This window comes from Homo sapiens, chromosome 10, assembly GCF_000001405.40.
Source record: "Homo sapiens chromosome 10, GRCh38.p14 Primary Assembly".
Lineage (NCBI taxonomy): Eukaryota > Metazoa > Chordata > Mammalia > Primates > Hominidae > Homo > Homo sapiens.
The window spans coordinates 91,577,848-91,592,782 of NC_000010.11; the positions used below are offsets into that span (position 1 = coordinate 91,577,848).

Below are 14,935 nucleotides of genomic sequence, written 5' to 3' on the forward strand. Positions count from 1 at the left end.
ACCAATTTACCTGCCAGATGTTCCTTCCAAAACCCAAAGGAAGGTGATTTGTTTTCAAGAGGGAAAAGGAATTTGAGTCTATGGTTTTATTTCCTCCTAGTTCATTGAAAAGAAGGTTTGTCTTCCTTATTTAAAATACCACAGAAGAGTGCTAACAGTGATGGGAAGCCTGCTTTGTCTCTTGCATTACAAATCATAGTAGTAGTGGTAGTAGTAGTATCAGTAGCAGTAGTGGTGGTGGAACAGTGGAAGTAGTAATAGGGGTAGTAGTGGTGGTGGTGGTGGTAGTGGTGGTGTTTGTAGCGGTAGCAGAGGTAGTGATAGTAGTAGAAGCAACATTATATGCCTGACATTTTGCCTGTATGATTTTATTTAAATCTTCATAACAACCCTGTCAGGTAGGTAGTATTACAAAGAGGGACACTAAAGCTCAGAGAAAGTAATTGGCTCAGAGTGACACAGTTAGTAAGAACTGGAAATTGCATTCCAACTAGGAATTCCAAAATACCTTCTTTCTACTATAACACACCAGAAAATTAAGATGCTACCAGCCCCACTTATATTTGTCAAAAGCCTGATGATTATGGGTTAATTCAGCCCTTGTTTTGCATCCATACATGGCATGAAGTTGGTTCTAGAATTGTCTACAAGAGTCCAATTACATTCAACAAACTCATGATGCTTTTTATATTTTTTTAAACTCAATCTCTTCTTACATCAATAGTGAGACTCTTAAAATATTTTCTCTTCACTTCCATAAAGACCCACTTCACTTTCCGGGAGATATTATTCTTCCACCTGGATAATGTACCAGCCAACATTCCCTGCATTGGCTATTATCAAGTGTGAGGCTTTCCCTGGTCTCCCTCTGCTAGAACACTGTTTGCTTTTGAGCAGAATTTGATATAAGACCAGTTCACTGTAACCCTATCCAAGCATGTTTAGTTAGAAAAGGATGAAGAGAAATTTTTTCTTAGCTTTTATAGAGTAATTTGTTGGTTTATGTTTCCCAGTGATGAAACTGTGACTGAGTTAAAGGATATTATATAGCAGAGATATTTCTGCCATGGCCTAGGTATTGTAAACCTGTCTGCAGGTTCAGGGAAGCACCACCTCTGCTGAATCGAAAAAGAAAATTGTCTGGGGATCAGGAGAAAGGATTCTCCAAAAGGCCAATGTTCTTATAGAGAAGCTCCTAGTACCTAAGAAGATACTCATTAGTTCAGTTTATTCATTCATCAGGCATCATCTGTGTTCAGGCATACTTCTTGGCACTGGGTATTCAATGGGATGCATATTAGACAGAGTATCTGCACTTGTAGAGCTTAGAAAGAAGCAGGAAATGTATCAGGAATGCTCTCGGCTACAAGTGACAGAAAAACCAGCAAGCAGTGCCTTTTTAAAAAGTAGAGTTATTTTTCTCCATAACAAAAAGTCCGTGAGTATGGAGTCCATAGCTATTGCAGCAGCTGAAAGTTCCTATGTGTTTCCTTCTTTCCACCCCAAATCTTCAGCATGGTGGCTTTTCAGTTTTTTTTAATTGCATGTCTCAAGATGGTGACCACAGCTCTAGATAGTATATCTACATTTAAGGCAAAATGAGAGGGTAGAGGAGTGCCAGTCATATCTGATTATTTTATGCAGAAAGCAAAGGCTTTCCAAGAAGTCCTTTGGCAGACTTCTGCTTAGACTGCCTTGGCCAAAACATTTACATGAACCACCCCAAGCTATGAAGGAGGCTGGAAATGTAAATATCTGGTGAGTGGAATTACAGTCATTGACTTTGACTAATCACAATTCAACCTCAGAGGACAGGCCACTGCCATCCTAAACAAAATCAGGGTAATTAAAAGAGGCTGGGGTATGTGGTGAGAAGGGGAGGATGAAAGGTAGCTAACTAAAACTGTCTGTCTCAATAAGAAAGATTCAAACCAGCATTAGGAGACCTCACTGAAGCTTGATGTCTAATGTTGTAAACTTTTGGCCATCCCAGCTGCACATCAGGCTGAAGACATTCCTTGGGTTCCCAGGCATGCCTCACTCAGGCGGAGCATAAAACCAGGGCCAGAGGCAACAACAGCTTCTCTGGAATCGGTGATGACAATATTGTATATTAATGTTTTCCTGTGAATGGTTTCAAGTCTGTATATGTCCTGGTCTTCTGACCTACCTCGTCACCTGAAATCTAAATGTCTCTTTGCTCCCTAATACCACTGCCAACTTCTTGGAATTAGAGACTTAGAAGCTTTTCTTCAGACTGTGAGCCTCTAAGAAGTGACGCTTTTCTTAGATGATCACTTAGGCCCTTACTTAGACCCTTGCTTTCTTCGAAGAAAGAAAAGTAAAACCCAAATACCCATCAAACAGAAAATGGTTGAAGAAACTATGGTATATCTTCACAATGAAATATACCATATGGCAGTCAGACAGAATGATGCAGCTTTATATGCACAAAAAGCAAACTGCAAAGCAACACATAGAACACAATAGAATGTACGTCTGAGATAACCTTTGTGGTGGTTGTAAAATATGTCCATAAATTCTTTCATACAACTCTTCAATCCATCTCCCCTTGAAAATTAGTGATTCACTTGTAATGAATAGAATGAAGTAGTAGCAGCAGTATGCAACTTCAGAGACAAAGTCATAAAAGACATTGTGGCTTCCTCCTCATTCACTTTATCTTAGATTGCTTACTCTGGGGGAAGTTGGTTGCCACGTTATAAGGACATTTCAGTGGCCAACAGAGATATCCATGCAACAAGAAGCTGAAGCTTCCTGCTAACAGATATGAGTGAGCCATCTTGGAAGAAGATTCTACACATCCCCAGTCGAGCCTTCAGATGACTGCAGCCCCTGCCAACATCCAACCCTATGAGAGACCCTGAGTTACAACCACCCAGCTAAGCTGCTCCTAAATTCCTGATCCACAGAAACTGCAAGATAATAAAATTTTGCTGTTAAGCCATTACGTGTTGGTGTAATTTGTTTGCAACAATAGATAACCAACATGGCCTTATTATTTGCATATGTAATAATAAGACTCAAGCCCCTCCTCTGTGTTAGTCACTGTGTTTAAAGTCTCAACATCAAATCCTCATAATAACTCTGTAAGGTAGAGTCTAACATTATCCTTATTTTACAGAGGAGGAATCCAAGGCACAAGGAAGCAAAGTAATTTGACCAAAGATGTATAGCTCTTTGAACCCAGGCAATCTTTGAATGATTACCTGTAAACTTGTATACTATACTACACTACACTATTCTATACCATACTTTCATTTGTGTATGTGTGTGTGTGTGTGTGTGTTGCAATGTATTCTATGATGTGTGCAGAGAAAGTACATATGACCAGCCAGTTGCAGTGGCTTATGCCTGTAATCCCTGCACTTTGGGAGGCCAAGGCAGGCAGATCACTTAAGGTTAGGAGTTTGAGACCAGCCTGGCCAACATGATGAAATAAAATAAAATAAAGTATGTATGATCACAGGTTACTTCTTAGAATTGGAGAGAGAATAAGAGAAAGGGGGGTTTTTAATTTTCCTCTACTTTCTTCTGTACTGTTTGAAGGTTTTGTTTTTTATTTTTTAGGGTTTTTTGTTTTTTTTTTTTGAGACACAGTTTCACTCTTGTTGCCCAAGCTGGAGTGCAATGGTATGATCTCAGCTCACTGCAACCTCCGCCTCCCAGGTTCAAGCGATTCTCCTGCCTCAGCCTCCCGAGTAGCAGGGATTACAGGCGTGTGCTACCACACTGGGCTAATTTTTAGTAGAAACGGGGTTTCACCATGTTAGCCAGGCTGGTCTCGTACTCCTGACCTCAGGTGATCTGCCCACCTCAGCCTCCCAAAGTGCTGCTTGAAGGTTTTTACGATAAAAATGCATTATTGTAATACCTGTGTAGTTAAAATTTTAGCTAAGCTGGCAAATAGCTGTATGCTATTCAAGAAATGAAGTGTTAGGGAAGGAAGGGGCACATATGACCAAATCTAAGTCATCAACATGGATTCACTTTGGAGTGAATCAGATTGGCTGCTTCTGTGGATTTGCAGGGGGAGATGGGGTACTCTCAGAGCCCTTTCCCCTCCAATACCACCAACCCAAGGCTCCCTCCTTTTCCTACGGTCCATGAGGCAGGAAGAAGATGTGCCCTCCTGACCCAAAGACTTCTCTCAAGACATGCCCAAGAGTCCTGCCATCTCCTCCACAGCTGCCTACATGCTTGTCAGGGTGTGACACATGGTATCCCATCTGGAGACCACAGGTAGGACAGTTGGCCAGGACACGGAGAATCTATTCTTGTTCTGGGCTTGAGCCTGATTCAGGAATAGACTCTGAGAGCAAAGTCCTCAGGATCTCTCCCCTCGTGACCAGGAAGGATCATGCGGCTGATGTGCTCCCTGGCACCATCCTTGCAACTGTGGGGAAGATATATTTAGCATCTGGCCTGTGAGAGAGCTGTCATTACAATCTCACTATGAGGCTGCCTCAGTAACTCCAGGGCACTGGTCACAGCCTAATCCTGTCTATTTTTACATGTTCAGGTTTGTAGAGTGGTAATAAGAGTTATCTGTCTGATGCAAGACAGGATCAGATAGGCCTGCCCTGGTGATAGATGGCCTTGAGCTTCTGATATGTGATAAGTCACACCACTGCCCACTCCCTGATGGCTGCAGTGTGGCTGGAGGTTCACCTAGCTTGTAGGAACAGGGCTGTTCTATGTTAATGCCAGATACCTTGTAGGGTAAGCCCATGAAAGGGGCTTTTTCATAGCCCCTAAAGGAAAGAAGCCAGGGCTCAGATGAACTCTTGCCCCAAGAGGCACCATTTCTTGAACAACCACAGCAAACCTCATTAATCAATCTCAGTACTCTTTTTCACTGAGCCCTCAGAATTATCCATGAGAGATCATCCCTGGAAGCCTCTACCAATCAATACTAGTTGCCCCTTATGATGAAAATGATGAGCTAACTTTGGGCTGGAGGGACTGAGAAAGTCATTAGTGAAGAGTTGATCGGGGCAAAGGGTGAGATGATGCCAAGTTTAGAAGGTGGTGGGAAGGTAAGAGGGCCTGGGTGCCTCACAATGGCAGGAAGGAATCAATGAGGGCTAAATGCTATGATTTAGACATTAACAAGAGTTGGTGACACATCAAGCACAAGATAGAGTTAGAAGGACAGCTTCTCTTATCATGTTACCATGGATAAATCCCTTCACTACTCTGTTCCTCAAATGTCCTACCTGTAAAATGAGCGACCACTTCTAGCATTGACACCTTACAATTCACGTTATTTACCATAGCATGGAATTCAGTGACTGTTGACTGCAGCATCCCATAGTTTTCTTTTCAGGGTCATGTGAAAGAGACCACTAGCTGCTTTCCAATATCCTTTCCTCCTTCATTGGTAGAAGAACTCCAGCTTTTAGCTGAACAACTGTAACTCAATAAAGACTAAATGTCCCAGGTTTCCAACAATATAACTGTTCTATCCAATGAGATATAAGAGGAAGCCTCAAGCCGGGCGCGGTGGCTCACGCCTGTAATCCCAGCACTCTGGGAGGCCGAGGCGGGCAGATCACCTGAGGTCAGGAGTTCAAGACCAGCCTGGCCACATGGCGAAACCCCGTCTCTACTAAAAATACAAAAATTAGCTAGGCATGGTGGTGGGCGCCTGTAATCCCAGCTACTCGGGATACTGAGACAGGAGAATCGCTTGAACCCAGGAGATGGAGGTTGCAGTGAGGCGAGATAGCGCCATTGCACTCCAGCCTGGGCAACAGAGCAAGAGTCCATCTCAAAAAAAAAAAAAAAAAAAAAGAGGAAGCCTAATATGGAACTTTGGGGAACTCTCCTTAAAAAGGAAGAGGTTGGTGTGATGGATAATAAGATCTCTGTCTTTGAGTGCTTAGCCTCTAGTTTGAGAGAAAGAAATAAAACAACACTAGAACAACTAACAAATATATAACAAAGACATGAGTGCCTTTGTCTTTTATCAGTTGCTCCACATGTTTCATTCAATCTTCTGGGAAAGAAAAGCAACTGGAAAGCTTTAATGTATTCATTCAATAAACACTGAGTATTCATTATATTCCAGATTCTGCTGAACTAATCAAATACAACATTTGACCTCAAGATTTACTCCCAACCCAAAAAACACGCAGTGTTGGTCTAATATTTAAAAATTATACTTAGGCTGGGTGCAGTGGCTCACACCTGTAATCCCAGCACTTTGGGCGGCTGAGGCAGGAGGATCACTTGAGTCCAGAAGTTTGAGACTAGCCTGGACAATATAGTGAGACCTCATCTCTACAAAAAATTTAGGAATTAGCCAAGTGTGGTGGCATGAACCTGTAGTCCCAGCTACTTGGGAGGCTGAAGGAGGAGGATTGCTTGAGCTCAGGAGGCAGAGGCCGCAGTGAGCCAAGATCATGCCACTGCATTCCATTCTGGGTGACAGAGCCAGACCCTACCTCAAAAATAAATAAGTAAAAATCATATTTAACATTAAAATATAGATTTTCAGCTTCTGTTGAATAATGGAAGAGTTGACAACATGGAACTTGTATTCCCTCTTGACAACAATTGGCAGCAGCTGAATAACAGTACCTCCTTTCAGGAGGGTTGCTACCACTCCTCATTTTTCTCTCTTTCTTTTTTTTCCTTTTTGAGATGGAGTCTCGCTCTTGTTGCCCAGGCTGGAGTGCAGTGGTGTGATCTCTGCTTACTGCAGCCTCCTTCCCAGATTCAATCATTTCTCCTGCCTCAGCCTCCCAAGTAGCTGGGACTACAGGTGCATGCCACCATGACCAGCTAATTTTTGTATTCTTAGTAGAGATGGGCTTTCACCATGTTGGCCAGGCTGGTCTCAAACTCCTCAGGTGATCCACCCACCTCAGCCTCCCAGAGTTCTGGGATTATAGAAGGGAGCCACCACGCCTAGCCCACTTCTCATTTTTCTTATACCAAACTGTTATGTCCATTCTGTCATTTCCTGCCCGGCTCTGCAAGACACTGGGGAGCGTCAGCCCTGCCCCAGAACCTGGAATGCAAAGGGAGTCATTTGTTCCCCTCATCATCAGAAACAAACATTTATTGAGCACTTACATATCAAAAGACTAACCTGAAATGTAGGAGGCTCTTCTTTGAGCCCCTGTGTTGGCATTTGGGGATGAGGGAGAAAGAAAAGAGGGGAGAAGAAATGAGGAGGAGCAGTTCAGAAAACAACATAATCTTATTGCAACCTTTAAACAAAGGAGGGGTAACATTCTTCCCACCTTTCCTATTTGGCTGTCTGGGACATAGATGTGATGGTGGATCTCTAGCAGCCATCTTGCACATGAGGGTGAGGGCTACACCATGGAAATAATGTGTAAGGAGTCCGAGTCCTTAATGTCTTCATGGAACTTCCACAACTAGTGTTATGTGACAAAATAAAGCCTTGAGGGTAAAAATCATTGTTTTGTGTTTCCTGCCTCATGGGCTATCTCAAAAATAAATAAGTAAATAAATAAGCAAAAATCATATTTAACATTAAAATATAGAAGCCAACCCTAATTCTACTGATTACAAAGTTTATGTCCAAATCCAAGGCTAGTCTGTGGGATCTTCCTGGGAGCCTCTAATATTCTACAGGAGCAATCGAGACGCAACCCAATGGATAATCCCAAACACTTTACTTCTGCTATTGCTTCCTGGTGGTCTCAGAGATCACTCCAGCCACTTCAAAGGGCCATCTAAACACTGATTTGGGAATCTGATCCTACCTGGTGATATGTATCAATAAGGATGCATTGGGTGACTGATCATAGAAAGCTCAAGTCAACTATTTTAAACAATAAAGACATTTTGCTGTCTCATTTGATAAGAAGTCCAGAGGTAGAACATTTCCAGAGCTAGTTAATTCAGTGGCTCAGTGACACCACCATGGATTCAGGTTCTTTTCATCATGCAAATTGGCCAACCACAGTGTGTCGGCATTTGTCCTCGGTGTGACTCTTTTGGTTGCAAGTACATCAAGCACCCTGTCCTCATTCAGCAAACTCTAAAACCATAGAGACTAAGATTGTGTAGCCCTTACTGTCACTGCTCTTTAAGATGGGGGAAAACTTTCCCCAAAGTCCCCCACTTCATGTTTCATTGGTTAGAATTCAACCACATGCTCATCCCAAACCAGTCCCTGGCAAAGAGGATAAAATGATTATGATTGGCTCAAACTAACCAAGATTTATTCTCTAGGGACAGAGAGGGGTAAGGTCTTCCATCAAACCATGGAAGCCCAATATCAATCAAAACTGGGGTTCTGCTGGGAAGGAATAAGGAGCAAGAAATGGCTATTGAATATGCAATGAACAGTTTCACCAAGCCATGTGGCCTTGGATCATTCATTTTCCCTCTCTATGCCTCAATTTCCTAATCTATAAAATGGGAAGAATAGACTAGAAAATCTCTAGGGCCCTCTAAATTACCTTCCCAATTGATTATGAGTGCCCAGTTCTAGTGGCACAAGATGCTCCCTCACTGACTGACATTTAGTGATCACAGCAGCATCAATAATAGCTTAAAACCTAGAAGTGGAGGTGGTAAGGTTAAGGTGTCCTTGGTGGCTGTAGCCTCCTCCTCCAGGTAGCCCTTCACAATATAAAGCCCCACCTTGGCTTCTCTCAGGCCATTGGCCTTTCCAAGGGGATGCTGATGCCCATCACTGACCAGACTTCATCCATCCACTCAGTCATTCATTCATTTATTTGCCACTGACAATCTCATATATTCCAAGCTCTGTACTGAGCCTCCACTCTGCTCTACCATTACCAAGGGATAAAGTGTGAACAGATTTGGGGTAAGGAGCGGGGAATGCATGGAAGAAGAGCTGTAAGATCCAGGTCCCAGTTTTCCCTCTGCCAGCCAGTTAAATTCTAGTTCAGAACTCACTTCTCCCAGGAAGCTTCCCAGGTTCCCCCAGCCCCATGTTCAACCTAGAATGCGCATGTCTCTGGTGGTCTGCCAGGAGAATGGGAAGCCACAGGACAAACATGGTGCATCTTTCTGAAGCATCAAGATAATACAAAGATTGGGGGAGAGCATGATTTAAGTAATGAAACTTGTCAATGGCTTCAAACATTAATTTAGATTGAATTAACCATAGATATAGTAGAAAGCTAAGATGGCACAATTTTTTTTAAGAAATAAGAATCTAAGAAACAGTAAGCTTCCGGCTATGGCCCACAGATAACCTAGAGAATGACAGACACTCATCTCCTCTGGTCACTATGGGAACCATCAAAGGAGATTCTGATAACCCATTCACTTAAACCCCTGGCTCTGCCACTTACCAGCTTGACAGCTCGGTATCCTAAGTATTTAACCTCCATATGCCTGTTTTTCCTTCCATTAAAGGAAATCATATTGCTAAATGGGGTTATTAACCACAACTTCATTGAATGAGCATAAGGGGCAGAAGTGATACTGTCTTGAAATGTTTAGCATGGAACATTGATAGTCATTTTTATTAAGTACTAAGTGCTACTAGTAAAAAAAAAAAAAACTATATGTATTAAGCACCTACTACTTGCTAAGCACTGTGTTAGGCATTAGGGAAATAAAGGTACAGATGAGAGTATCTTACAATTAAGTGCCTACTTTTTGCCAGGCACTGAGCCAGTATATTTTTTATTTTTTTTATTTAATTGAATACACATAATGCAATGCATGCTTTTCAGGTGCAAGGTGGTATGAGCACAGAACACTTATTGCTTGGAAATTCACTTCATTGGATTGTCATGGCTATGGCAATCATTTATGCTGCCCCAGGTGTCTTCTTGTAAAACCCATTCTCTTTAGTCTGTGACAATATTCTTACTAGACATGTGTTGTCTATATCTGGTTAACAAAACAAAGGGGCTAGAGACAACATGAGACTGACAGTCACCAAAACTCCACCACCTCTAATTTATTTAGCCCTCATGTCCAGCCTCCTGAGAGGCAGTACAGGAAGTATTTTCACACCTGATCTCTGGAGTCAGATCACGTGCCACAGCTGGAATTCTGGCTGTGCCCCTTACCGGCTAAGTAACCTTGGGCAAGCCACTTGACCACTCCAAGTTTTGTTTTTTCCTTTGTAAAACAGGAGTAAAAATAGTTCCTTTCTCATAGGATTGAATGGTTGTTTCTTATCTGTTAAGCAAAACAAAAATAGTTCCAACCTCATACAAATGACTGAGGTAACACACCTAAACTTTTAGCCCATTGGCTGGGACATAAAAAGTGTAAATTAAGTGAAGCCGTAGCTGTTATACCTTATTATTATTATTAGCTCCTTACTGCCCCACACAACATTTTACCGGAGCCAGCGTGCTGGCTCTTTTTGCTACTTGGTATGAGTCATCTCCTGTCATCTCCCATGAGATAAATATAAGAAAACTAGTGGGAGTCAGTGAAACAGAGAAGCAAATAAGTCCTCAGCCAGAATCATCCATCTTTAGGGATGAAAACAGAACTACCCCTTACTGGGCAGGTACCGTGCTGAACCCTTTATGCATCTCTTCATAGTTAATCCTCAAATTACTCTATGAAGAAGCCTCCCAGCCCACTGCTCCCTATGACTCATCACGGCCCTCTTATTCTTCCCCCAGAATCTAGAGGGGAAACATCTCCCCCGACACCAATAGTCATGACCCAGTTATGGGTTTCCCTGGCTAGCTGACATCCAACAGGATGACATCACATTATGCAATCAATCCTTACCCACAAGTGGGTCCATGTTAATTTCTTTTCAGCGTGTTTTATGTACATCTGTGTGTTTTCCATTTTCAGCCCCAATGAGCAAACTGTCCATTGGCTTATTAGGGTGCCTGTCAGATACATTTTTGCACTGTAACTCTTCAGAGACACAAAGTCGTCCTCCTTCATGAATAGAAAAGCAGACCATTACATGTTGGTTCCAGAGGCCCTTCAGAATTGAGGAAGAATATCCTGGAGAAAGAGCTCATGGCAGAGGGCTCTGCGCAAGAGAATTGACACTAGGTTTCTTAAGCTTTCTGGGTCTGAGATCCCTTGTCTGCAAAATGAAGACTTTGAACCTCCATGGTCTTCAGGTTGCTTCACTTATCCATAAATTAATAACTATTGTGTTCCAGCTATATGCATGCCAGGCACTGGGATACCAGTGACCACGACAAGCAACGTCCTGCTCTCATGGTGTCTGCTTTGTAGTCACAAAGACAATAAGCAAAGAAATAACTTCAGACAGTAAGAAGTAGCATGAAAAAAAAATGATGATGAGATAGTGCCTTGGGTGGGGCAGGAGGAGTCACTTTCAATGGGATGGTTAGACAGGCCCTTAAGGAAGCAACAATGAGCCTGAGAATTCTAAGGGAAGAGGGCAGAGGAAACAGTTATAAAAGTTGTTGAGTTTTCATTAGGGAAACAATCTGGGTCTATGACAAAGGAGCCACTGAGCTGACCAAGATGAGAAAATGCTGTTTTTCCATAAGCTGTCATAACATAGACCCTCCAGGCCCTGGCAAGGGCAGGACCTGACTCCTCCTCTACAAACATTCGTAAGTGCCGACTGCATGCAAGGCTCAGCCTCCAAGTCTAATCACAGCCCAGAGCCAAGTGTCTGGAGGCAATGAGAGGAATGCGCTCTGACCTTTCAGAGTGGCAATGACAATGATAAATGAAGGGGCATTTGGATGCTCGCCCTTGACTATAAGAGGAAACAGGCAGACTGTGAACTGGGGCTCATGTTCTGAAGCTTAAGTTTCACCCATTATGCAGTTTCTAGGGTCACTTGTTGCCACAGAGTAGGGCAAGAATTTGAACTTAAGGACTGCCCTGGTGGACTTACAGACCCCTCAGCTGTCAGCATAGATCTCTGAGCTGAAAGCACATGGGCAACCTCAAAGCTTGCAATATCTTCTGCTGGGGGAGTGTGGGGGAGAAGGAAGGAGGGGGAAGTGAGGAGGTGAGAGGGACAGGGGACAGAGTAAGGAGTGGCCTGGTGGGCATGGGGTTGACTGAGGCAATATAAAAGGCTGTGCTGAAAGTCAAAACACTTGGGTCACAGTGCCAGCAGTACGCAGAGGAGTCAGGTAACCTGTCCAGCCATTACAATAGAACCAGGGCAGCACCTGCTAGGGCCAGGCATGGAGCGGGCTCCTCGCTCACAGTATCTCATTTAACCCTCAACACAACACTGGGGAAAGTACTATTATTATCCCTAATAGAGAGAGGGGGCTGCAAGAGATTTCACGCCTTGCCCAAGGTCACATAATGGCAGAGATGGAATTCTAACTTGGGTCAAGCCAATTTCAAGTTGTTAACTCATTGGTTATATGGGAAGGGTAATCACATGTGCTCTACCTGTCTCATGCATTTGTTGGGAGATCAAATGAGATGAGAAGGTGCTTTGTCAACATTAATGAGCTGTTCCAGGGTCTGCTGGTGCCAGCATGGTTCCTAGCAGTGCTGCTATCTGCATAGGTTCCTGCCCCCAACCAACTACACACCTATTTCCCACTCTCCCACTATCTCCTGAAATTCTGGCCCATGCTTCTCCCCTGGGGTGGTGGCACATTCCCCCATGGCCGCCCTTCCCCGGAGCAGCAGCAGCCCTATCCCCAGCCAAGTCTTGGCACTGGACCCGCAGGATGGGGAGGGCATGTGGAAAATCTGAGGAGATGTTTTTCTTCCTTGGGAAGGACGCCAAACTGCAGTTTGCTGGCGTTCTGTAAAGTATGCACCCAGAGAAGATTTAGTTTAGGAAGAAATGGGGGAAAGAATCCCTCACTATTTGCTTAGTGAGCTGGGTTGGCCAAGCCAGAGCCAAACCCCACATATTTGGGCTGACTCGCTATGTTTACAAAACAGGCCCATGTTCCAGGAGATGACTGGGGAGGCAGCAAAACAGTCAGGAAGGAGGGCTCTGTAGGCCTCTCTCTGGCCTCCTTTCCATCCCCCGTCTCCAGCCCACATCTGTGGCTTGCTTTCTTGGGCCTGGAAGGCTGGGGGTGGGTCAAGGGAAAGGTGGGCCACCATGACCTCTTTTGCATGGTGGCTTTCTCACTCCCTACCCCTTCAACTCCATGAAGCCCACTGTCAGAACTGACCAGAGGACACCACCTCCAGGGAGGCTTCCTAAGCCCTGAGGCTAGGTCTGGGCTCTTTCCCAAGGGCTTCCTCAGGCTCCTTCAGGGCAGAGACCCCTCCAGTTTTGCTCACTGCAGTATCCCCAGGATGGTACTTCAATGAATAAATAAATGACTAACAGCTCTGGCCTCCTATATCCCACGCTGGGGCTTTTCCCTAGTTCAGATCCAGAATTCCTTGGATCTGAACAGTGACATCCTGGGTGTTGGGTTGTGTTTGTTTTGTGTTGCATTGTTCTCCCTTGCTTTCCAGTCGTATCTCCTATGCTTCTCAGCCTTTCATTAAATGCTGCATCAACAATGAACTGCTTGCAATTTCTCACCTGTTTCTGCCTCATGCCTTTGCTCAACCTGACCCCTCTGCGCCCACCCCTCCCTGCCACTCCTAGTCAGCCTTGAAGATTCAGTCCCAACCTCTTTTCATCCGGAAGTCTCCCCTAACCCTCCCCACCCTACCCTCTCTGTCTCCCCCTTTGGTTAGAGGTCTCTTATCTCAGATCCCATAAAAACCTTGCCACGCTTATCACTGTTTACATAGCTGTCCCTGCTCCCAGACTCCAGGCTACTTGGGAGCAGGGAACGTGTCCTAATTGCATCTATCCCTTGCCCTTAGCACAGCGCCTGACATGCAGCAGCTGTTCAACACATGCTTGCTGAATTAATTCATTAACTAACATATGCAGAAGCTAATAATAGCATGCAATGTCATGGGGCCGAGTGTGCATGAGATCCCAGCAAATGCTGTGAGCAAAGAGGAAGAAGCCATTGCCGTGGGCCCGAGTGACTTGGGTTGGGGAAGAAATGGTGTGGAAAGAGAAACCGACGGGGCATACAGCGCAGAAGGCAGAATGGAGGCAGGATGGAGAACGGTCATCGGGTAGCAGGGTGAAATGAGAAAAAGGCCAGGCTTTTAAAAACATAAATCAATCACAGCCTACTCCTGCTTAAAACTCCAGTGGCTTCTCTCTGTGTTTTGGGAAAAATCCAAACATCTTGTCAAAGCCTGCGAGGCCCCTAGATCTAGCCCAGACCTCAAACTTTGGAAAAGAGGAAACTATGTCCCAGAATAACAGTTACAGGGATGCTATGATCATAGTGTTTTTATTTAAAACGCTGGTTTTTGTCTAAAAAATTTTAGCAAATCATGTGTAATATTTTTTCACCACAGATGTATTTGCCTTCGGTTTGAAATCCCAAGTACAATTTTCCAGAGCTTTTTTCTTATGTGAACCAAGTCCTGTGAGCCTTTTACATAACACAGTTGAAATTTTTGTTTTTTCCATCATGACCCATTTGAAAGTTGCCCTATTTAATGCCGTAGGAGCCTATTTCGGGTTTGTTTATCTTTTAAATTGCTACGGGACCTTAATGTTACAGCCTTCAAACAGGGTCTTCTGAGAACTAGGGAGAGACAAGTTATTTGTTTGATCCGTTGCTAGCTGCTGAGGCCTCTCTTCATGCCAGTCACTGAGCCAGGAGTGACACCGACATGTTCCTTCCCACAAAGAACTTATGATCTGAGAGGAGACGGCACACCCAGTATCAGGTGGTGATTTTCAAGGCAGGCACTGAACTGACCACTTTACATACCTTATCTCCTACTCTTCCAATAATCAGGGGGTTGGAAAATATTACCCTCATTTTATAAATAAGAAAACTGCAGCTGAGAGAGACCAGAGACTTACCCAAGGGTGGCATCAACTGAGTGGCAGGATGGGAACCTGAGCCCAGGTGTGCCTCCACCGCTGCACTTTGCCTTGGTCTAAAACAAAACCAGACTAGCCATACAA

General features: G+C 44.0%; 1 long non-coding RNA gene across 1 annotated transcript in view, besides 2 other annotated features; it reads right to left on the reverse strand.

Moving 5' to 3' along the window:
* The window catches only part of HECTD2-AS1 (HECTD2 antisense RNA 1), a 304,499-nt gene that overhangs the window by 270,886 nt on the left and 18,678 nt on the right, over positions 1 to 14,935 (reverse strand). The window lies entirely within an intron of this gene.
* Positions 2,565 to 2,859: a silencer, noted in NCBI's record as "tiled region #13147; HepG2 Repressive non-DNase unmatched - State 23:Low". NCBI's record gives its function as "represses a minimal TATA promoter and a strong SV40 promoter by Sharpr-MPRA in HepG2 cells {active_cell/tissue: HepG2}" and the evidence as "EXISTENCE:reporter gene assay evidence [ECO:0000049][PMID:27701403]".
* Positions 10,885 to 14,119: an enhancer, noted in NCBI's record as "VISTA enhancer hs1950". NCBI's record gives its function as "enhancer in: somite[4/4] | branchial arch[4/4] | heart[4/4]" and the evidence as "EXISTENCE:transgenic organism evidence [ECO:0001131][PMID:17130149]".